Here is a 25,809-nt window from a genome sequence, read left to right as displayed (position 1 = left end):
CACTTTACCCAGTATATGGTACATGTACTGGCACACATTCAATTGTCAAATCACCAGACAAATAATAAATGTTAATGGACACAGATTGATTCCTTATCTTTGCTACTGTGAATAGTACTGCAATAAGCATGGGAGTACAGGTATCCCTTTGGTATACTGATTTATTTTCCTTTGGATAAATACCCAGTAGTGGGATTGCTAGATCATATGGCAGTTCTATCATAGCTTTTTGAGAAATCTCCATACTGATTTCCATAATGAATTTACTAATTTACATTCCCATCAACAGTGTGTAAGAGTTCCCTTTTCTCCACATCCTTGCCTGCATTTATTATTTTTTTGTGTTTTTAATAATAGCCATTCTACTGGGATAAAATGATGTTTTATTGTGGTTTTGATTTGTACTTCTCTGATGATCAGTGATACTGAGCATTTTTTCATAATACCTACTGGCCATTTGTACAACTTTTTGGAGAAATGTCTATTTATACTTTGTATTAAATGTTGTATTCAATGTCTTGAATGCATGAATGCATGAGTACATGAGCTTTCCAGTATTCATTTCTATGCTGCCTTATTGGTTTATTTAATTTCACGTCCTGCAAAGTATGTATTCACTGATTTGATTCTCGCAAAAACTCTTTAAGATATTAACCCCCTTTATTTCCTAAACCACAGAACAAGTAAAGACAGAGCTAGGACTGAAAGCCAAGTGTTCTAACTCCAAATTCAGTGCTCTTTTTATTGATCAACTATTTAATATTTTTAACTCCTCTAAAATCTTGTATTACTTTATAACCTCTTCTATTGGAACACTTGTTGACTCATTTACTTACAGCTCGTATAATATAAACTCCTTCATTAGAATACAGTAGGCACTCATTAAATATCTGTTAATGAATTTCCCCATTTATTGACCCCTTCTAGTCAACAGGTATATGAGGCAATTAATAGGATAATTTTAGCTCATGGAAGATTCACCTGCACAAAATGAAAAAGAATTAAAACTGTCTATATCATCTTAAACTGTTTACAACTGCTTCAGGAGCTCAACACTATACAGCAAAAACTCACTAGAATAAAATTAGGCAGCAGAAAACCTGAGGCATTTAGTGAAAAATAAATGTTCTCATCTTTAACAGAGATATTTGAAAAATTTCAGTGACAGAAGGAAACCAGATAAAACTATCAAATGTGAACTCGTAACCTCTTATTTTTAGCATATATTATATTGCTCATTTTAGCCACTTAAAATGGCAATATTAAAAACAAGCAAAAATTTGCACACTGACCCTTTCCTTTTTGTTTCTAAGAACGCTAATTTAAATACTTATAGTTACAATTTAAACTAGAAGTGATAATAAGACAAATATTTCAGGTTTACATAATACATATTTCAAAAATAGTTACTTTTAGAGCTTAGAAAATAAAATGAAACATTCATACAAGTTGTGGTTAACGAGTTTATACTTTACCTACAATCTTTCCTTCTACAATTCTCATACCACGTAATAAATATTGGCAATATGGTCGCAAATTGTAATAGGGTAGGTTATCTAAATTCATAACTTAAAGGCATATACAAATTACAAAAGAGTTTGCCAAGGAAATAAAAAATGACACATTATTAGAAACAACATAGTTTCCAAAACAGTAGGTTAGATGTATGAATGTGGGCAAATATGATTATCAAGTTGAGGTCTGAATACTACGAAAAATTAACGAATAGTGTGAACATTATGATAGTGGAAATACTTTAATGGATATATTCCTTTTAACCTATTTGAATGGTATCTACTTTCATTTAGCTATAACTACGAGATGTAAATGTACTAAATGCCACTGAATCCTACATTTTAAAATGATTAATTGTATGGTATGTGAATGTCAGCTCAAAGATACGTTTTATATATATATAAACTTATTAAGAGATGTATGTGCACATGTGCATGTCTGTGTACATACACCTGTTACTAAGTTATCTAAGCCCTCAAGTTCATCTAATGATCATGGTTCAATTTCTGTAAGGCAATTAGTATCACCCTAGTCTCTCAACATAAAATGAAATCCTGTGGATAGCAATCTTGAAAATGCAGGCCATTTGAAATGATGGGAATGGAAAACAAACAGAGGCATCAATTCTTTCATATGCCAAAAACATTAAAATTCCTTAGTGGGTAAAGCTAAATTTTGAAATTACTCTTCATCTGTTTAAGGCTCAATAAAGAAATGTAACAAACATAGAAAGTAGTTTAGCAATACTTAAATAAATTTCAAAAAATAAATTAGCATTAGAATAATCAATGTAAATAGATTTTTAATTCTTCATTAATTTCTATTCATTATTAATGCCAATAAACAAGAGCTTATCTATAAAAACCAATTCAACCATCATCCCATTCATTAAGAAATTTTATTATTACTATTGAATAAAATATTTCTTAAAAATCTTTCATGGCACCATTCTGAAAACAATTCCAAGCTCCAATTTCAAAAGTATAAGTTTCATAAACTTAAGTTTCTCTAGAAAAAAATTTATAATAATCACATTGTTTTTAGTTTTAATTCAAAATATCTTTAATGTTCAAATTTAACAACATATTTTAAATAGCTATATACTTTGATTTTATAAACATTATTTTTAATTTAAAATATTACTAAATACATGTTTCCTTAAACATATTTAAATGTTAGTACATTTTGAAGCACTGTATTTAAGAAATTCAGAAAAAAATTAAGTGCTAAATTTCAAGTGTTGCAGGCATTTATCACAAACCATTCGTTATTTTAATATAATTGTACCGCAATGAACTACATCAAAATATACATATGAACTAAACTGGAAACGTACATCAACATATTGTATGATAAAATGTCTCCTCTGTCCATCAGAATATACAGAAAGGACATATTCACCAGGTTTCCCATGACTCTCTCGCACCAAAAAGTCTCCTTGTTTTTTTAACAGTTCTTGAGCTTCTATTCTGGGAATTGCACCATGGTACCAGTCCTGTTCTGCCAAAGGCTTCTCACTGATGGAGATCATATCAGAAAGCTTAAACAAATATTAAAAAAAAAAAACTAAATTAGAGAAAATACTGATTATTTTCTAATAAAATTCATAGCAACTATAAAGGCTTCTTACAAATGTTCCTCCCTTTAATTGACCAATTAAAAGTTATACAATAAACCTAAAATATCTTTTGAAGTACTGGTGCTGAAGTTTACCACAAATACATATGCTTCAACACTTTGTTTTATCTATCATACAAAGGTAGACACAATATTAGCATTTAGAGTTAGCACTGATAATCTTATTCACCATGTCCTAAAATAAATCTATATACTAAAATTATCAACCAGAGAAATTATGAAGAAAAGGAGGGAATTAACAGAAATGTATCACAAAATAACTTAATTTTTATGTAAATGAAAAGTTGAGTTATTTCTTTTTTATGTAATTAACTCTTGATCACAGAGGTTCTGAGCAGTGTCATACATTCCAGGAGTACTATCTCAGGTTTTATTTGATGCTGCCTTGCTGCTGTGCCTTTCTGTCTTTATCTTCACTCACCTGACTTCCTTAACCATTACCTCTGCCACATGGCTGGCCCTGCTTCTACAAAGCAATGGTAGATAAAGCCCTAGGAGAAATAGCATCACTGAAAACCACCAACATGCAATTACAAACACATGGCAAAGATAAGGAGTGGTTATAAACCATGAGCATGGTAGAGAAAGCAAATTCTCTGTTATTTTAAGAGGCCAAATGCTAACACCAAGTCAGAGATAATTTAAGAGATGATTGTATTTCCTTGAAATGTGCTGATAGTAGATTAAATCACACATTTTCTGATTACAAGTAAGAATCTTGTTGATGTTGTTGTTGTTGTTTTTATGGCACACAGGAACTAAACTGCTCCAGATAGAGAGAGTACTTTGCGGTTAAGGTACAGTAATCTGAACTAACTTTTAAGGTTCTCAAAATACAATATGCACAATGCCTCATGAGAAAGTAATTTATAAATTGGAAAAATCAGAATTAATAATAAACGAAAGGCAAATATTCATATATGAAGTTTTATAGGCTGATATAAATTCTAGGTAGGGCCAAAGTATGGTAATTTTGTAGTAAGTAAAAACTGGTTTTTAACATAGCCTTTATTGTTTCGTACCACTGAGGAGACCCAAAACTTACTGCTCAAAGTTCTATTTCATGTTATCCAAACTCATTCTGTTGGTTAAAAGAACAAAACAAAACAACAATAAAAAACTTGAAAAGTCCCAAACAGACCTCAAGGAAAGTCTACATTCTGATTCTTACTTCTTCCACTTGTATTAAATAACATTTTAAACTTTTAAAATATATTCCGTTTGTGACTATATATGGAAGTTTTGGTAAACTAAGTCTTTTAATTTTCATGCAAACTATGACAAATAATATTGTATCATATTTAACATATATATTTTATTTCAAAAAATGGTTTAATGTATTCCCAAAAATTGTTTTAAAGAGCAATTTTATCTAAAGACCCACCCACGACTATGAGGTAAAAGAATATTGCTTTTAAAAACAAACGCATAATCTACACAAAATTAACTTTTTGTATATACTGATACTAATAATTTACAATTATTAAAGAAGTAAAAATAATCAAATGTTTTCTATTTTTATAATCAAAAATTTTATTTTAAAATTTTATGATAGTGCATCTAATTAGAGTAAATTCTAAAATTTTTACTATAATAGAAATATTTCTGTCTCACCAATAGCAAAACTGCTTATTTATTCAACAGTTATTACTGAATACAAGAAATTCAATGTAACATCTTTACAAAGGACTTTTTATCATTGTCTCTCTAAAAGGTCAACGTAACAGGAAAGCATCCCAAACAAGGATGCTACCTGTTGATTTCTTGTCCTAGCCAATCTATCCTTCCAAATTTGCATTTATTTCCAACTGAGAGAATGATGAACAGAGTTCGATGAACTAATTAAGGTGGAAAAAAGTACAAAAGCTCAGCCAGCATTCCAAGAAATTTATTTAAACATATGACGAAGAATATGTATGGGGGAAAAAGTCATCTGGGGAAAGTATCTGAGTTTTGTTTTTAAAAAACTAAATAGTAAGGAACTTATATTGCTATCTCATAAAGATCACACTTCAATTCTATAGGCTTCTTAGTTCCTTTGTAGGTAGGAAGGGAAGCTCAAAGATCTGTTATTCCCCATCCCCTATACAACACTGTTATGAAATATAAGCTGAACTTACTGTCAGTGTATGTGTGTATATACACATGTATATACACACATACACAGGGAAAAGTCACACATATCCCCTGCCTGGGTATATCAGGTCTTTCAAAGACTTCTCTAGAAGCACTGGAAGGAATATTTTTATCAATATGATTTCAATGAAATCCCAAACAATTTTACAAACTTGACAGTAATATATGTAGGATGCATCAGCAAAAAAAATGTAACATCCCAAGAGCCCACCATAATGACATCACAAATGAAAGGAAGCTTTCTACCTCAAATATCCCATCTTTCTCAGCCTCAATAGACAGGGTTTTTCTTTGTTGGTAAGTTATCTGAGATTTTTGCCAAAGATATGGGGGTAGGAGCAAAGCCTCCTTTTTAAAAGTTTCAGTTAATACAGTACAGTTAATAAGTTATATTTAATAAGTTTTCCTGATTGATTGGGTTAGCTGTCTTATTAGTTATTTTCCCTAGATCTTGTTCCTAAAGAATAGTCCAGCAAAAATATGCTGGAATTAGTGAAATTAAAGAGATTATTTTATATGAAAAGGCAATAAGGAGGCAGCACTTGAAAATATTTTTTTCTTGGGGAAAGAAAAAGAGATTATTTTTTTCTCCTTACCCTGGTCCAGGCTAATTCTCAAGTATGTAATGAAGATTTGTATACCTTTACTCAAGCATTTGAGTAGCAAGATGAGCTTCTTTTTGGGAGGCAAAAACAAAAATGTTTTTTAAAAATATCTGGTCTAGATTCTATTAAAATTAATTACACAATAAACCATTTTGAAAAAAGCAAAACAAGAATAAAACAGCATCAAAAATATACAAGTAAAACCCTTACTGAGCTTGAACAACCTAAATAAAACTTCAACACAAACTTTTTTAAATTCTGAATTTTTAACATGAAAATGACATTTAATTATCTTTTCTATTCTCATGTAAATTTAGTTATTAACATTAATTTAATAGTCTAATTAATAAGTTATTCCAAATCTAGTTTAGTAATACACTAGGGTGACAAAGAGTAATTCATAAGATTTTAAACATTTCTCAAAAATTCCGTTAAGACTCAACTGGTAGCATGGCTAAGTGGTCTAAGGCACTAGATTAAGATTTGGCCGGGCACAGTGGCTGTATCCTGTAACAGCACTTTGGGAGGCCAAGGTGGGAGGACTGCTTAAGTCAGGAGTTCAAGACCAGCCTGGACAACATAGTGAGGCCCTATCTCTAGAAATTTATTTTTATTTTTATTTTTTTGAGATGGAGTCTTGCTCTGTCACCCAGGCTGGAGTCCAATGGCGTCATCTCCGCTCACTGCAACCTCTGCCTCCTGGGTCCAAGTGATTCTCCTGCCTCAGCCTCCCGAGTAGCTGGGATTGCGCACCACCCCACCTGGTTAATTTTTTGTACTTTTAGTGGAGACAGGGTTTCACCATGTTGGCCAGTGTGGTCTCAAAGTCCTGACCTCATGATCCGCCTGCCCGAGCCTCCCAAAGTGCTGAGATTACAGGTGTGAGCCACCATGCCTGGCCCTATAAATTTATTTTTTTTTTAATTCCATAGGACCCCTTTTATTTTAAAGCTATGTATTACTTAGGAATTTTGGGAGGGGATGAGAAATCAACTGTTTACAAAAGATGGGAAACACTAGTCTACCGAATGTGCCTGGTGGTAGTAAAAATTATTTGCAGTGAAAGGGAAATGTAATCATAGGTAGGAAAGTGTATTTTATGCCATTTCTAGTTTGATAGTTGAACATAATTTTTTTATTTGTACAGATATACTAAATGTTTAATATAAAATGAAAACAAAAAATAATGTTCTCCCTTCCAGTTTTTTAAAAATTTCTAAATAGTTACCGTTTGAATCTATTGAATTAATCTTAAAATAATGAAAAATAAGATATTCCGAATATTTGTACCTCAGGATCATTTGTGTTCAGGATAGACAAACAGGATGTAAATTAGTTAAAATAGTGGTTCTGTCTTTGGCACTAAATGACTATCTTTAATTCTACAAATTCTGATTTTTTAGCAGTAAAGCTGAATTGGCAGTTTTTTCATGCACTGGTATCATTAACCAAAAAAAAATACTTCACCTAATATTTACATTCTATAATGAAACTAGCTGTAAAATTTTTATTCATAAATTTCTTAACAATTTTTTGTACTACAATATTTGAGAATTTGAATTTGTTTGGTTTTTAGCTAACAATAAAACTGTTCTCTAGGATAGTAACTATAAAGAATTACATGTTAATCAGAGATAAGCATTAGTACACAATTCTTTCTAAAACTTGTATTAAACAAAAATAGACAACTAAGCCAAACTCAAGTATCAGGTTACCTCCACAGCTTCCCATTTCCTGGCCTTTTTGTACCCCTTCTTGGGTCTCTGATAAGGGACACTATCTTTAGCAAAATATGTATTTTATTTTACCTTTCTTTCTTTCTAACAATTCTGCTTCCTTCAGTACCTTTGGGGTTTCCTCCGACTTCTTTTTTGCCGGCTTCTTTTGTTCCCTTACTCATCATTTATTGGTAATAACATGCTTTTCTCTCTTTATTATTTTTACCCAGTTACTTTTACGATTGTGCCTGTGACTCTCACTCATCCTCTCTCATCATTTTAACACATTTTTGCTATAGTTTCATTTTATTCAGTATCAAATATTCTTTCCTTAAACCCATATATTTTACATATAAAATGTGCCACAATATCAGTAAGAACACATTTTCATCAATTAACTATATTCAATGCTAAAATCTTATCACACATTGCAACTAAAACTACTACCAGATCATTGCAATATGTCAATACGCAACCATATTTCAGTAAATGTAAACATTTATCATCAAGTTGGGATTGCCTGTATAAACTTAGTATCAGTCTGACATGATCTCTGTCATCTGTTTTAAGCATTTCAGCAAACATATAAACAATAGATTTGTTCCATTACAGTACAAATTATGGAATATCAATCTCAATAAGTCCTTTAAGAAAAATTACATGTAATACTGCAAGTGATTCAAAACTTAATTTTCCTAAACATGACAGAATTTAGTGTATGAGAGTGATATAATGCAAAAAATCTTTATTTTCCCTTGTTTATCACTCTTTTACATATTAATAAATGGGGGGAAAGCGCAACTTAAGACCTTAAGAATAACAGAAGACAACTGATATATTTAAAATGTATACTATTTAACCTGAACTTGACAACGTGCCTTGATTAAAGAAAGTACAAGGCCGCTTTTCTAGACTCAAAGGAGAACACTAAAAAATACAAGCAGTTCACATCATGCATGAAAATAGCTACATTCCCCTATGCCACTGGTGGAAGCCAAGCATTATAACACTATATTACAACTGATGTACAACTTAACATAACTGAATGATGTTTCTAAAAAGCAAGCAAGCAAGCAAATCTTACTTACAATATTATTCTATATGAAGGAAGCAATTTTTATTTTCTAATATTTTGATTTTCTAAATTCTAGTACAAAGTAATTCTAAAATTGAAATAGCACCCATGTCAACAGAGTGTAGAAAATATGAATTTTAAGGAGACTGCTGTTGAATAATTTAATAATTCTTCTGTTATCTATATAAAGAACAAACCATTTGGACCAAAATGTGCTTTATTTTTGTTTTAAAGAATATTTTTCAAAGACTGCTACTATCAGACGGGCATTATTCACTCCATATATCAGTGATACAACTAGTATTCATGAGTGGCTGTAAGATGGAACAAGCGATTTGCTCAGCCACTCATTATAGAAATTCTGCAGTAGATAGATGGCCCTAGAAAAAGGGCAATATTCTTGACATGACTGGAACAGATCTCATTAAATATAATATGGTTTGAAAGACTTTCAATTGGAATGGACCCTCATGATTGCCAGTAGGCTTTTAAAATATGTAATTAATACTGTCTAACATCTCTAGGCCTTGGCTTCAGAAGCAGTCTCTGAAAAATAGTTCTCAATGCAAAATTATAACCTCCTTAAGATAGGAAGATGCTAGATGTAACTGTAGCCTCAGTAATCTGAGATACTAATAATAGGGATTTTAACCCCTTTGGTACACTGGAAAGGAAAGCACATGCTTGTAGCTGATATAACATATTAAAATATTATTCTGATCATAACAAAAAATATTAAACATCTGATGACATCAAATACAATATTCAGATGAAAACAAATTCTGCTATCAGCCAAAGTCTTAAGTTCTTTCTTCTATCAAGACTGTTGATCTAAGCGTTCCATTAGACTGTCTTTAAAGGGAGCTCTACATTTTAAAGATACTGTTAAAAACAGAGGTAAATCGTTATGTCACGTCCAGTAAAAATACCATTGCGATTAATTCTAATTTCATTTTCCTATATATAATGCATTTGCTTTACTTTATCTAAAATTATGCTTTAACATTCTAATTTTTGTATGTTTATTTGCATAAACAGTGATTCATAGTTGTTGCATTTTAAAGATTTTAAGTTAAATATGCTTCCATATGCAAAAGAATGAATTTGAACTCTTAGCGGGGCCGAGGAGGGAGGATCACTTGAGCTCAGGAACTCAACACCAGCCTGGGTAATAGATTGAAACCTCATCTCAAAAATAAATAAATTAAATAAATAAATAAATAAAAATTTGAACCTGTACCTCACTCCATATACAAAAATTAACCAATAATAAACAAAGATATAAGTGGAAGAATAAAACTCTAAGAAGAAAACAAACAAAGATGAATTATCAGCATAATCTTGGATTAGACGATTTTTTTTTGACAACCAAAAGCACACACAGTCAAGGAAAAAATAAATTGCTCTTCATCAAAATAAAAAACTTAGGTGTGTTAAAGGACATTAACAAGAAAGTGAAAAAAAATCCGAAGGGTGAGAAAAAACATTTGTAGATTATATGTATAAGGAGTTTGTTTTCAGAATATATACTCTTACAACTCAACAATAAATAAGCAATTTTAAAATGTGCAAAGAATATTAATAAACACATCTCCAAAGAACACATATAAGCTGCCAATAAGAACATGAAAAAATGCTCAACATCATTAGTCATTAGGAAAATGGAAATTAAAACTACAGTAAGATACTACTTCACGCCCACTAGAATGCCTGTAACATGAAAACATTTAAAATAACAATTGTTGGCAAGAATGTGGAGAAATCAAAATATTCATATATTGCTAATGGGAATGTAAAATGGTATAATTACCATGAAAAACAGTTTGGCAGTTCCTCAAAAGCTTAAATAGAGAATTATTACCATATAACCCAGAAATTCTACTCCTGGGTACACACCCAAGAGAACTGAAAACATATACACAGAAAAACACTTGAAAACGAACGTTCATAGCAGCATTATTTATAATAGCCAACAAGCTGAAACAACCAAATGTCCATCAGCTGGTGAATAGATAGACAATATGTGGTAAATATATACAATGGAGTATTATTCAGTCACAAAAAGGAATGAAGTACTGTCACATTGTATGACATGGATGAACCTTGGAAGAATTATAAATGGAAGAAACTACATGCAAAAGGTCACATATTGTATGATTTTATTTATGTGAAATATCCAGTGTAGGTAAATCCATCAGGACCAGAATTAGACTAGTACTTGTTAGGGGTGTATACACTGGAGTGCCTGTGTGTTTGAGGGGGAAAAAAAACTCCTTCTCCAAGTAAATAGAACTAATGCTTTAGAGAAACTCTTCTGTGTGTTTGTTCATGTGTATGAGATGGCCAAACTGCTGTTACTAAAGACAACTAATACTCTAGCACTACTGTGATATGCCAAACCCACATTTCAATGATTAATCTATCAAACAGACTTCAATTTTATAATCAAAATGTTCTTTAAAATATAAATATACACATAAATACATTTTTAAAATATATATAGTAATCCCTACTGTAAAAAGGTTATGTTTCACTAGAAAAGAATTGTTTACACTATTATTCCAGTAAGAATCAAAGTACATAAAATGTTTCTCATAATTATTTGTATATTGTAAAGGAAGCCTATAATTCAAGTTTATTTCTGTCTTCCCTATGTCAATGTTACATGGGATTTTACTATACACATATATAGACAGATTCATATGCACACAAAAAGTTAAATTATGCACTTATCTTTCCATTTGTAAGTGCAAATTTATATATGTATATACATATATATACACACACACACACATATATATATATTCATTAGTGCATCAGAAAGAAGCTAGACAATGACCATTTTCAGTAGCACAGAGAGTTAATCCTACTTACTGCTGAAGAGCCCAGTGCAGATTTTGGAGACCTAATTATTCCAGCAATTGAATGACGAATAGATTCAAATTTGGATAGCCTCTCCTTTCTTTCCTGGAGGGATTAAGAAACAAGCCTTCAGCAACAGTAAACTATCCAATATGTATAGACATTTATGTATTTAGGTACTTATCCACAGCTTATCCATCATGTCTTCCAACTAAATAAAATATAAACTTCCTGACATTCAAGATAACAAATAACCAAATACACATAAACTCTATAGCATTTTACTTTACTGACCCCTCAACAAATGTTTTGATTTGGGGGAAACAATAAGAAAGAAATAGAAATTCATATAGCAATTCATATAGAATTCATACAGATGAAAACAAGAAATGCAAAGGAAATTCACAGAAAACCAAGTATTAACACATGCAAAAAAGAACACAAGCTATAAGGAACCTATTTAACAGACTATTTCGGATAGGACTATAGTTGGGAGGGAATTCAAATAAGAAAAAATAATCACAAAAAAAAACAGGAATAAAAGTATATGGAACACATTTTTTAAAGGTGAATTTCACTTCAGTACCTAGGAAGTTTCCCAAAGATTCACATGATGATGATGACCATCATAATGATCCTGATGATAAGGAGGAGAAAGGCGGGTGGGAGGAGGATGAAGTAAAATAAGAAGGTAATGGCAGACATACCTACCACCAATCCTACCAAATCCAGATTGCTATTTGCCACACAATGTGTATTTCTGAATATCATATACCATAATGAAGGAAACTTTTCCTAAAATTTCAAATCTTTAGATCCATTTTATAAACATAAGTGAATGGGGTAGGTAAGAGGGCAGAAAAAAAGAGGGAAAAAGGAAAAAAAACCAAAACTAGGACATAAGAAGGGCACCAAGAGCAAAGCACGTGTGGTTTTGTAATGGAAGTATTGGTCAATTTTCCAATGACGACTACATTTCAACTGCTAATCAGCAGCAGACAAAAGAACAAGAGATCCTTTTGTCAAGCACACTAATTCCGTATGTCTTCCAGCATTAGTGATGCCAAATTTTACTTCTGGAAAACAAGTAAGTAGGTCACAAATAACATCTTTTGTTTCTTTTGTCTCCAATACCTAGGGTATATCTCTGTAACAGTAAATGTACATATTCTTGGCCACATGCTTTCTCCCAAAACCCTTTGGTAATATCAAAACAAAACATTTTCTAAGTGCGTAATACTAAAATTACCCAATGGATTAGAATTATCTAATGGAGAGGTCCAGTTAGGGGATAAAGAAAACTTTAAAAATTGCTCCCTTATATTAAGTTACAAAGCATAACATATTGTGTGTTAGACAGGATACAATTAGTGAAAACATCTTTTCATATGAAGGTTCTTTATAGATAGGTTGGCCTAAAAACATATTATCAAAAATAATAATGAGACCTTAAGTTTCATATAGCAGCAATCAAAATGCAAATAGGGTTAATAAAACATGCCAACCAGTGCCAGATCATTTGGTGCCCAGATTTCTACAAATAAAACATGAAACTCATTTGTCATGTAGTTCCTGTCTATGTAACATCTAGTATCAGCTTTAAATTACAGTCTACCTAATAACACATCAGACTGTGCTGAATTCATTGACAGGTTGATTTTTACATCAAACAATCAAATGGCTACTTTTAAAAATTAAAATTAAAAAACTTCCCTTCAACTGCCATGAATACAATGCCTAAGTTTGCTTTTAGGCCTGGCAGGGCTGGTGGTGATACTCTCATTTTACTCACCTCAAGTAATGGCAAGATACATTTTCCAGATAAAGGAGGTGTAGGAATTAGTTCTGGCAAAAGGATGGCCCCTCACAATGGAGGTAGTAGGGGACTAATGAAGGGGTGAAGGGAGAAGCAATGTTATTAAATAATACCTGAAATTGTAAAATAATATTCTGATGAGATGCTCAGAAAAAGTGCTGTAAGTACAACTATTACCTTGGCTTGAAAGAAAAGTTCTAGGTACAGTATCAGTTTCGCATCTCATTTAAGAATAGTTTTTCATTATTTTAAAATTAAATGAGACAGTGTGTGTGTTTGTGTGTGTGTGTGTGTGTGTGTGTGTGTGTGTACACATACACATAAAACTAAGAGACTGGTTCATAATAATTACAAGTTTATCTATTATCAGTTAAAAAGAACTCTATGCCAGGCTTGGTGGTTCATGCCTGTAATTCCAGCACTTTGGGTGACCAAGTGGGGAGTATTGCTCGAACCCAGGAGTTTGATACCAGCCTCGGCAACACAGTGAGACCCCATCTCTACAAAGTTTTTAAAAATTAGCCAGACATGGTAGCGTGTGCCTCTAGTCCCAGCTGCTCAGGAGGCTGAGGTGAGAGGATGGCTTGAGCCCAAGAGGTTGAGGTTGCAGTGAGGCCAGACTGTACCACTGTACTCCAGCCTGGGCAACAGAGCAAGACCCTGTCTCAAAACAAACAAAAAATAAAAACAAACAAACAGAAAAACTCTATTAAAAAAATACCTAAATTACTTAAAGTAAAATCATACCTATCAAGTTTTGAAATTATCCTTCATTAGAAAATTGCAGTGAAAAAGGCTCTTTCACTGCAATATTCCATTTAGTGCCCCCATTCCCTGCGCACTAAAGCACAAAGATATAAAGGGCAAGAATTAAGGTTCTGCTGATTGGAGTGGCTCTGACAAAGATCAAAAGCTCTAACCAATGACTGCCTATCTGGCTGCTGTAGAAAGTGACAACCAAAAAGCATATAACAGTTCTCAAAGTGAGGTTCTGAAAGGAGGCACTAAGGCAAAGGAATAAGGTTCTTGAAGTCAGAAGGGATAAAGAGTATGAGTCTGAGCAAATTACTCAACTACCCTGGCTCTCAGTTTCCACATCAGAAAAAAGAAAGGCACTGGCTAGATAAAATTTTCATCTCAAAAATTCTGTGACTTTTGTCCAACTCCCCATCATTTGCGTTACGCTGATCATTAATGAAAACCCCAGAGAAGAGTTTCATGGTACCAGGCTGGCAATGAGTACTTTCCTTGGAGCAGTTAGTCACAGTTCGCCTGAGGTACCCTTTGAATATGAACCAATGAGAAGGCTGAACTATCGTGAAAGGAAGACCTTTACTGTTGTTGTTAATAACGGGTCTTTAAAACAAAAACTGAATATTATTTCTCACAGACTTATGTAAATAAACCCAATCTAATAACATTCTTGGACAGAACAATGAAAGTGATTATTTGGCTCTGTAGGAACAGCCAGCTACTTATTAAAATCAGGAGGCAATAAGAATCAAGAAAAATATAATATTCATGCTCAAACTCCAGGCTGAGTGCCAAATATCTTAGGGGCTTCTTATGCAAAGCAGGCATAAAATTCAGAGGGATTTTGTGAGAAATAACTACAGGGAAATTATAACCCCAGAGAAGACTACCTTCTGAAAAAATTCTACATTACAGCTCATAATGTAAATGAAATACTGTAAATATCAGTATGTCCTTCATTTTAAAAAAATGCATTTATAAGTAAGTAACCTAAGGTTTTGAAAATGCTGATTTGCTGGGCACAATGAAAGATAGATAGCTTCTATTCCCATCAGGATACAGAATTTCAGTATTAAAACAGTTTCTAAATGATTTGTTTTAGCAACAGGGTTTCTGACTAAAGGCAAATCATTTTAGAAGTATTCACTCTCTAGTAACTCAGTTTGTCATGCTGTCTTTTCTCTTTGATGCTTGCATATTAAGAATATTTATTAAAAGAAAGAAAACCCCCTTGCTAAATCAAGCATATTCATTTTCTGAAATAATGAAATTAGAAACCAAATGCACAAAACAAACATCTGAATGATTATTAAGATCTTGTTTTAAAACAACAATGCTAAGGAAACCTAGAGTAAAACAGAATAGAGTTCGGTGAGATCCAGGTTGTAAAATGTCATAAATCATTCTTTTTGCTTTCTTTATTCTGTATCTCTTAAATAAGATGTCTCTAGGGAAATAAGACCCAAGAAGAAGGCTATAATTAGCTCCCGTCCTATTCAATAGCCAGTTCACGTTCCATGGTGCTTTTCCCAAATGTGTGACCAAAATGGCTAAACATATTTTTTTAAAGACTACTTTTTAGAACAGTCTTAGGTTCATAGCATAAGCAGGAGGAAGGAATGGATTTTCTCATATGTCCTCTGCCCCCACACATGCACAGCCTCCACCATTATCAACATCTCCCTCCAGCGTGTTGCCTGTGTTACAGTTGAGAACCTTCATTGACAGATCATTATCACTCAAGAGTCCATAGTTTTCATTAGGGTTTGCTCTTATTGCTGTACATTCTATGGGTTTGGACAAATGTTTAACAACATGTAGCCAACACTGTCCTAAAGATCCTCTGTGCTCTGCCTATTCATCCATCCTTCACCAAAATACGTTTTTTGTAAATTATCCAGTACTACAAGATGCACACCAACCAGCTTCCTGATGAGCATCTCACTGATACAACTTAAGAGCTGATTGACTTTGCTCAGTAAACAACTGTGTAATTTGCTTGTATGAAAAATCATAACTATTATAAATTAGATTATCAAGGTATCTTAACTAAGATTCTGCTTTTAATACAATTTAGGGACATAACGATACAACAGTAAATTTTTCTACTTGACTTAAACTAATAAACTGTGAGACAAGGAATACCTTATAATGAGAGTGAAAGTATTACATCCCTAAGCATTTTTGTAACGGCTATATTAACGAATATCTCATAATTCCAAGATCTGGGTCTACTTTCTTGCCTATGGGTCAAATTTCTCACTTTTTGGTGTGTCATATAATCTTTGATTGTAGGCCAGACAGTTTGTATAAAAGAACAGTAGAGTCTGAATTCAAGAATATTTTCCTCAAGAAATGGACATACCCACTCCTTTTTTTGACAGGCTGCTGGAGAGTTGGAGCTGTAGTTAATAAGTTGGTTCTAGCCTTTGCTACAGTTTTAGTTTAAATCAATTGCCACAGCCTTCAAATACTTTGAGAGAGATCAGTTTTCCTTCATCTAGAAATAAAGCTGAGCCATGATGAGATTCTAGCATCCTCCCTCAGCTTCAAAGCTGATCCACCAGCTTTAGGAAATACAGGAGATCTCTCCCAGCTTTACAGCCTCTCGGGTGGGAGAGAGAAGTCTCTTTGCTCTCACCCACTACTTTATGTACCTAAGAAGACAACTTTCAGCTCTAATACCCATTCCCCAGCCTAGTCTTTGAAGGGCCATTGCCCTAGAATGTGAAGACCCAGAATTCCCTACAGAGAATCAGTTTGGGAAGGGGCTCTTATATTCTTTTGTAAGTGAAAGCCTAGAGTACTCAGTTTTTCTGCCTGAACTCCTCCCCACGCCCACACCCCTCATCAGAAACACACCCTACATACCACCATTCTGATGTATTGAGGATTTCATCTGAAGTATCTCTCAAGTCTCCTTCTCTGATCTACTGCTTCACCCAGTGAAAACACTTGAGTAAGAGTAGATGGGTAGATAGTGCTTCGCTCTGTGGGTTAGGCTCCTCTAGATTCTAATCTTTCACATCGGCCTACACCTGATGCTACAAATCTCTTAAAAACTTTTGAGGATTGATCTGCTCATACAGTTCCACCGAGGATGAAAGTAATCATGGGTCTATTTTTTCCTGTAAAAGGCCTGTCACTTTCTGGATGTAGGTTCATTTAGGTTTACTTCTGTCCTTAGCTGTCTGATGAGGTTTCTAAAAACTACTATTTTGTAGCTTATTTTGGTTGTTAGGAAGAAATGATGGTCTCTTGTGACTTTCCATATCCAACCTGGATATAAATTTCATATGCTTTTCATTAAGGCCAGTAATTTGTTTAACACTAGTCATCATTTTACTTTCCTTTATTTATAAAGCAGGAAAACATAAAAACATCTTTTATGGTTATTCACTAAAATGTCCATCAAAAAGACCACTAATTTGTCAAAAGCTACAGATTTGATTTTGACTACCATTTTCTATGACAGTCAATTACTACACAGTTAAAGGCTACATTCCTCAGAAAATAATTTAACAGGTTAAAGGCCAAATGTCTCAAAAGTTTGATGTGTTATTTTGTGGGGTTTGGTTTGGTTTTGTTTTGTTTTCCTTTATTGATGAGTTTCAGGGGATAGAGAGGATAAGTTTTATGGGTTTTGTATTTGTTGCAGAGGACCTCACAAGGACGCAATAAAGATTACTAAGTACATATTTCATTTCTGTAAATGTTTTAAGTTTCCAACTTTATCTAAAAAGTTCCTGAATGGTTTTAATGTTTAGTATTCTTGTACTGTACATGCATCAATAATACTCTTATCAGAGCTCCTTTTGTTACTGCAACTAGTAACTGGGAACATTTGGAGTTTCAAGTCCTCAGTCAAGATTTTATTTATTAGAATGGAATCAGAAACTAAGAACCTAAACGAAAATCCTAAGATTTAATAAAAATATAGAAAAATTAAAATTTTTAAATAAAGAAAGATGGTGGTTATAATATTGTACTTCTTTTGTCAGCTAATAAAATCCAACCAGGAGATGCATTTTAGAAAGAAGTCAGTCAGATTCTAAGTGCTTGTCCCATCCTCAGCCTCTCTGAGAGAAACTGTCACACTGTAGGACATCAGTACATCCTGCCTGAGAATGAAGTCCATACAACAGAAGGTAGAGCTGCGAAATGAAAACAAATCCTTGACGACATGGTTTGAACTTCTGTGTATATCCAGCTACATGACTGGGTAAACTCTTCTTTGTTTTAACTAATCCAACTTGGGTAACTATTGTATAGAACTAATATAGTAGGCTTTCCTGGAATATCAATTACTAATTAAAGATTTTCAATAAGCAACTTCAAATGTCACAATGATCACTAACAAAACAATATATTAACTTACATTTTTAGGTTTTAGAAACATTTAATTTTAATAGGAAAAGAAATCTTTTGATATTGATATATATTAATGTAGATTAAATTCTTTATAAACTAAACACATATGTTGTGATAATTATTCTCACTTATTCCCATTAATTTAACAGTTTCAGCACATAACAAATAAAACAACTGCTCAAAAGTATGGAAAAACCCTAGTTTAAATGGCCATTAATAGATGTCATAGTACAAAAGCTTCTGTAGTCCCACAGATTTTAGAAATGCACAGTTAAACAAATTTAAACAGATTCATTAATGCAATATGTCTCAGAGTCTTAATAATGTATTACTATTTGCATCTTTTGGGAGAGAAAATATTCTGCAAAATACACCTCAGAAGGTGCTGTCACAAAGCTTTCAATCTGTAGGGGTGGAAGGGGAAACATTTTTGTCCACTCTACATCAGTCATGGCTTTGTCTTGGACACTATCATCACATGGAATAGCTCTAAATTCAAGCTCCCCTCTTTCTGGCCACAGTCTCCTATCCCATCAGTTTGCTTTCAACCAGTTCTGCTGTAACCATTTTTCAATCTCACTGGAACTCTTAAGTCTTGTAGTCTCCCACTTTCTCCCAATCAATCATCTTCTCTTCTCTTCTCTCTTTATCTAACTTAGATGCCATGCTACATCATTTTCAATGATACTCTTGCCAATATTCTAAATTCCCTTGCTACCCTGTCTCTTAGGTGCTCCCTTGTGGCAAAATTCAGCCCTGGATGGATCCAACTATCTGCTCTCTCTGAGTTCACACCCAAGCAACTAAACACTGTTACCGAGTATCACATGATTACTAACTTCAAATGGGCCCTAAATATCTGGCCAACTCATTTCTTATTTTCCACTCTCATTGTCAACCATTTCAAACTCTTCTTACTTTTCTATGTCTAAAACAACTTTTTTCCATACCTTCTAGCTTCTTTAGAATTAACAAAGGTAGGAACCTCTTCATTTTGTTTTTTCAAAGCTATAAAATTCTCTACCTATTATAATCTCCTTCCTTTTTTTGAAACATGAGGCAGATAACTCCCATCTTAGGATTACCACTCTACTTAACTTTGGATCTCATTGCTTCCTGACCTCCTAAGAACCTTACACCTTACAAGAACCTAATGGATCTCTGAGGTACTGTCAACCATCCCTTCTCAAATGGTTCTTTCCCATCAGCCCTTCAGTTTTTACGTGTGTGTGTGTGTGTGTGTGTGTGTGTGTGTGTGTGTGTGTGTGAGAGAGAGATAGGGAAAAAAAGGAGGGAAGAGAGTAGGAAATAAAGGAAGGAAAGAGCAGAAGAAAGAGAAGGATGAACCTCTCCCTTCACCACATATTCTGTTCCAGCTACTGCTTGCCCTTTATAAAAAAAAATTCCTAAAAGAGTTATATATGCTCACTGTCTCCATTTTCTCTACTCTCACTCATTCCTCAATCTGCTCTTATTTGGCTGTCACCCCATAACTACACCAAAGCAGATGGTCTTAGGAAACCAACAGACTCCATTTCACCAATCTAACAGACACATTTTCCACTTCTCTTACTTGACGTCTCAACACAATTCCACTCTATTGACCATGTATGCCTACATGAAACATTTATTCCCCTACCACACTATCCTCCAACCTCTCAGACTACACATTCTCAGTTTCTTCAGCAGGCTCACCCTCCTCTACCAGGTCATTAAATGGTAATGTGATTCTAGGCTCTACTGATTCCAGGTTTCTTCTTTTCTCACTCTGTACTTTCTCCCTAGGTAATCTCTTTTATGTCTCAACTTCAATTACCACCTGAACCAAGTCTACTCACAAATTTAAATCTGCAACTTAAACTTTTTTCACTGAGCTCCAAACTTGAATGTTGAAACATCCGTGTGACTTCTATTTAGATGTCGCAAGAGGTAGATAAAAGTCAATATATTACTGAACTCATAATTCCCAAAGCTGGCCTTTTATCAGTTTCCCATTTCAATGAATGGTACTACTACCTCTGTTATACAAGCCAGATATCTAGAGGCCCAAGCACACACTCACAATACAATCTAAGCTACAAGAAGGCAGGGGGATTTATTGGTTTCTTAACTCAAATTATTAAAATATTAAAATAAATGCTACATATTAATGATGAAGTTAAGCAAGACAGGAGCTATTAGACATCATTTAAATAGTAAATAAAAGGGAATATATTTACTTGAACTATTGTTTTGTGCTAAGAAACCTCAAATGACACATAAGAAAAAAATGAAATTAAAGTACTCAAATTTAACCCAAGTCATTCCAATTATAGGTAATCTTTTTAACTCAGACTGATTTTAAGAATCTGTAGTTATCCCTATTTAAATAGTAGGAAATTCTCAAAAACAACAGAGGAATACTATCTTGGGAGTTAAAAGATATTTTCCTTTGCATTTTTCAAAAAGATTGATTTTTCTAATTATTTTAATTTGAAAACTAGTTTGCTGTACTTATAAATAGCTAAAAGTGTTAATACAGAGAATATTTAACTTCTTAATAAAACAAGTTCAAGAAAGGCCTAGTACATACCTAGAAATAAAAATGTATTATTTAATCCCAACATTACCAATTACCAAATATTATAAATAACACCTCCAGGGCTTAATTTTTATCAATATGAATGTAAGTTAGAAATCTTAGGACCAGGTCTCTATTTCTATGTAATAGGCTCTAGTCTGCTTGAATTAATAAAGTACCCATGAGAATTGTTGTACACTGGGTATTTTCAGAAGTTCATTAACTATTACGTCAACAGGCAATAAGCATAGGAGAATCAATATGAAATAAACAACATAATAAACCACTGGCCTAAAGCAGCCATTGTGTAACTCCAAACATCAGACTTATAACCATGAAGACATCTGATTAAGAGTCATCATCCAAACTACAATTATCATCTAAAAATTAAGAATGGGTACTCACCAAATAACTGTATCAAAGGTTTAGCAAAATTATTAAAGGTAAAATAATAGCCACTGTTATTAAAATTGTATTTTTTATATTAAGCAGAATCATTTTCCTTGAATAAAAAGTTTAAATATTGAGAATTTGAAAATCCCCTCAATCCCTTTGCTCCCAATGAATCCCCAGGTATTTTCCAAATAGTGTGAGCCAGGACTGTGAGCCCTAGAAATACTAAGTGATTTGCTGAACGTCATGTGGTCAAGCAGCCGAAATTTAAATTCAGCTTTAATACAAATTTTTTGCTATTAATCATTATGCTATGTTGACTGCCTTGAATAAATAGTTCTTGCAAGACACAGACCTCATATTTCCCAAGGACTCTTTCCCAAACCATTCAAAAAGTAATGCTATTTGAAGTCTGCTCAATAAATGTATATTTAATTGCTCCAATAATGTAATAAACAGAGGACTTTCTGGTCTCATAATACAGACGTAAACACTTGATTCAGAATCTATGCTCTAGGCCTGGCTTTGACTCTAACTCAGAGTTGGACCATAAACAAAGTATCTGTGCTTCTGGCAAAAGAAAAATATTTTATAGTATCTTCCAGTCCCGAAATATTATGACTCACAGAGAAGTACTCAAAAAATTACTTGAATAAAAGGGCAGAAAGAACCAGCTTCTCTCAAGTTAAAGATTTCACCCACAACCAAAGTTTTAATTTTTGAGAACTTTCTTGATAATTAAACAGAAGATAGACACAAACTGTAGGTGGGTTGGATGGTGACTACCACCTCCCCGCACCCCACTCAGAAGATATTTCCACTAAGAACCTATGAATGTAACCTTATTTGGAAAAGCAAGTTTTGCAGATTTAATTAAGTCAAGGGTCTCAACATGAGATCAAACAGGATTATCCAGGGACCCTAAATCCAATGACAAGTTTCCTCGTAAGAGACTTAGAAGAGGAAGAAACACAGAAGGCGATGTGAAGAAGGAGACAGATTAGAGTGATGTGTTTATGAACCAAGGAATGATAGGATCTCCAGCAGCCACAAGAAGCTAGGATAGAGGCAGGGAACAATTCTCATTCAGAGACTCCTGAAGGAATCAACCCTGGCAAAACCTTGACTTTGGACTTCTGGCCTCCCGAACTGTGAAAGAAGAAATTTCTGTTGTTTTCAGCCACCAAATTTGTGGTAATTTTTTATGGAGGTCCTAGACAACTAATATATAGCTGAGAAAGAATCACTGCATATTTACCTTATAAGCAGCAGCTACCTTAAATGTCTAAGAAAAGAAAAATCACCCCTATATGTAATATATTAATCAGGAAAATGGGTTAAGAATTGCATGATTCACATAGATTCTATGCAATAAAAATGTGCATATACGCTTTTTTCTTTTTTTCCAATCCTGTTCCTTCTGTAGATATATGCATTTGTTAATCTTTCATTTCCCATCCAGTTTTTAGAACATTATCTCTAACTAAAGCGACACCTTGCCCCAAAATCCACTGTCAGAAATATAGCTGTAGTCCCAAAGATATTTTTTCTCAGCAAGAGCCTAAAGCCCTGATAATTCCAGGAAACTGTACAGCAACATTTACAGCTCAGCAGTAGCAAGGTCACTGGATAATCTCCCTCTGGCTATTCACACACCTACAGTGCAGTAGCTGGAAAACTAGCTAACTTTTTATTTGCTTCGCTAGCATCTCTTTTCACAGTAATTAGCACATGTGGTTTGAAGTTTCTTCCCATATTTTGGAGTCCAATATAGTTGCTGATTAGATATCAGCAAAGAAAGAATTTTAAAAAGCAACGAACTCCCAAGACAAAAATAAGTTGGTCAATATACGTTTATGTAAATAGGGCATTACTAAAAAGATTAACATTAAAAATAAGTGTGAAAATTACTGGGCCATAATTTTTATTCTATCACATTTTTTACAACGCTGTCATATAATGAAATGGTCTTAAACAATCAGTGGTAGAAGGAACCTTCTGTGTTAAAGATTTTCTATTTCAGCTTTTTCACTTCATAATACATGAGAAAATGAAGGTCAGAGGGGGTGAAATGACTTGCACTAAGGCACAGAAAAGATAACAAAGTAACTCTTTGCTTACTCTCTTTGTAGTAAGCCAGGTTGCCTAGATTACATACAGAAAGCCAAGCAAACGCTGGGCATCAGTCATTCATTCAAAACCAAGACAAGGATGCCCTGTCTCACCACTCCTATTCAACACAGTATTGAAAGTTCTCGCCAGGGCAATCAGGCAAGAGAAAGAAATAAAGGGTATTCAAACAGGAAGAGAGGAAGTCAAATTTTAGAAAACGCCATCGTCTCAGCCAAAATCTCCTTAAGCTGATAAAGAACTTCAGCAGTCTCAGGATACAAAATCAGTGTACAAAAATCACAAGCATTCCTATACACCAATAATAGACAAACAGCCAAATAATGAGTGAACTCCCATTCAAAACTGCTACAGAGAGAATAAAATATCTAGGAATACAACTTACAAGGGATGCAAAGGACCTCTTCAAGGAGAACTACAAACCACTGCTCAAGGAAATCAGAGAGGACACAAACAAATGGAAAAAAATTCCATGCTCATGGGTAGGAAGAATCAATATCGTAAAAATGTTCATACTGCCCAAAGTAGTTTATAGATTCAGTGCTTCAATGCTATCCGCATCAAGTTACCATTGACTTTCTTCATAGAATTAGAAAAAAAACTAGTTTAAATTTCATATGGAACCAAAAATGAGCCTATACAGCCAAGATAATCCTAAGCAAAAAGAATAAAGCTGGAAGCATCATGCTACCTGACTTCAACCTATACTACAAAGCTACAGTAACCAAAACAGCATGGTACTGGTACCAAAACACATATATAGACCAATGAAACAGAACAGAGGCCTCAGAAATAACACCACACATCTATAACCATCTAATCTTTGACAAATCTAACAAAAACAAGCAATGGGGAAAGGATTCCCTATTTAATAAACAGTGTTGGGAAAACTGGCTAGCCATATGCAGAAAACTAAAACTGGACCCCTTCCTCACACCTTATTAAAAAATTAACTCAAGATAGATTAAAGACTTAAACGTAAGACCTAAAATCATAAAAACTCTAGAAGAAAACCTAGGCAATACCATTCAGGACATAGGCATGGGCAAACACTTCATGACTAAAACACCAAAAGCAATGGCAACAAAAGCCAAAATTGACAAATGGGATCTAATTAAACTAAGGAGCTTTTGCACAGCAAAAGAAAGTATCATCAGAGTGAACAGGCAACCTACAAAATGGGAGAAAATTTTTGCAATCTATCCATCTGACAAAGGGCTAATATCCAGAATCTACAAGGAACTTAAACAAATTTACAAGAAAAGAACAACCCCAGGGCTAATATCCAGAATCTACAAGGAACTTAAACAAATTTACAAGAAAAAAACAAACAACCCCATCAAAAAAAAAAAAAAGTGGGCAAAGGATATGAACAGGCACTTCTCAAAAGAAGACATTTATGTAGCCAACAAACATACAAAAAAAAGCTCATCATCACTGGTCATTAGAGAAATGCAAATCAAAACCACAATGAGATACAATCTCATGCCAGCTAGAATGGTAATCATTAAAAAGTCAGGAAACAACAGATGCTGGAGAGGATGTAGAGAAACAGGAACACGTTTCTCCACTGTTGGTGGGAGTGTAAATTAGTTCACCTATTGTGGAAGACAATGTGGCAATTCCTCAAGGATCTAGAACTAGAAATACCATTTGACCCAGCAATCCCATTACTGGCTATATACCCAAAGGATTATAAATCATTCTACTATAAAGACACATGCAAATGTATGTTTACTGCAGCACTATTCACAATAGCAAAGACTTGGAACCAACCCAAATGTCCATCAGTGATAGGCTGGATAAAGAAAATGTGGCACATGCACACCATGGAATACTATGCTGCCATAAAAAAAGATGAGTTCATGTCTTTTGCAGGAACATGGATGAAGCGGGAAACCATCATTCTCAGCAAACTAACACAGGAACAGAAAACCAAACACCGCATGTTCTCACTCATAAGTGGGAGTTGAACAATGAGAACACATGGACACAGGGAGAGGAATATTACACACCAGGGCCTGTCAGGGGGTAGGGGGCTAGGTGAGGGATAGCATTAGGAGAAATACCTAATGTAGATGATGGGTTGATGGGTGCAGCAAACCACCATGGCATGTGTATACCTATGTACAAACCTGCACATTCTGCACATGTATCCCAGAACTTAAAGTATAATAAAAAAAAAATGTAACCAAGTGATATAACCAAGTATAATTTTAAAAAATGAAACACACACA

The 25,809-nt window shown here is 33.7% G+C and overlaps 1 protein-coding gene across 22 annotated transcripts in view; it reads right to left on the bottom strand.

Annotated features, from left to right (window-relative positions):
- The window catches only part of FER (FER tyrosine kinase), a 448,945-nt gene that overhangs the window by 239,058 nt on the left and 184,078 nt on the right, over nucleotides 1-25,809 (bottom strand). For 16 of the 22 annotated variants that reach the window (NR_146155.2, XR_007058589.1, XR_007058590.1 and 13 more), the window contains 2 exons: nucleotides 11,562-11,654; nucleotides 2,852-3,055 (listed from right to left, as the gene is read on the bottom strand). Coding sequence is in view for 18 of the 22 variants with exons in the window: in NM_005246.4 (NP_005237.2) it covers nucleotides 2,852-3,055; nucleotides 11,562-11,654 (297 nt within the window). In the remaining 4 variants the exon portion in view is untranslated. The remainder of the gene's footprint in view (nucleotides 1-2,851; nucleotides 3,056-11,561; nucleotides 11,655-25,809) is intronic. The other 6 variants (XM_047416940.1, XM_047416945.1, XM_047416938.1 and 3 more) reach the window with 2 other exon arrangements.

The sequence above is a fragment of the Homo sapiens genome, chromosome 5, assembly GCF_000001405.40.
Source record: "Homo sapiens chromosome 5, GRCh38.p14 Primary Assembly".
Lineage (NCBI taxonomy): Eukaryota > Metazoa > Chordata > Mammalia > Primates > Hominidae > Homo > Homo sapiens.
Note: the sequence above shows the minus strand (reverse complement) of the source record. Positions and strands in the feature narration are given on the sequence as shown.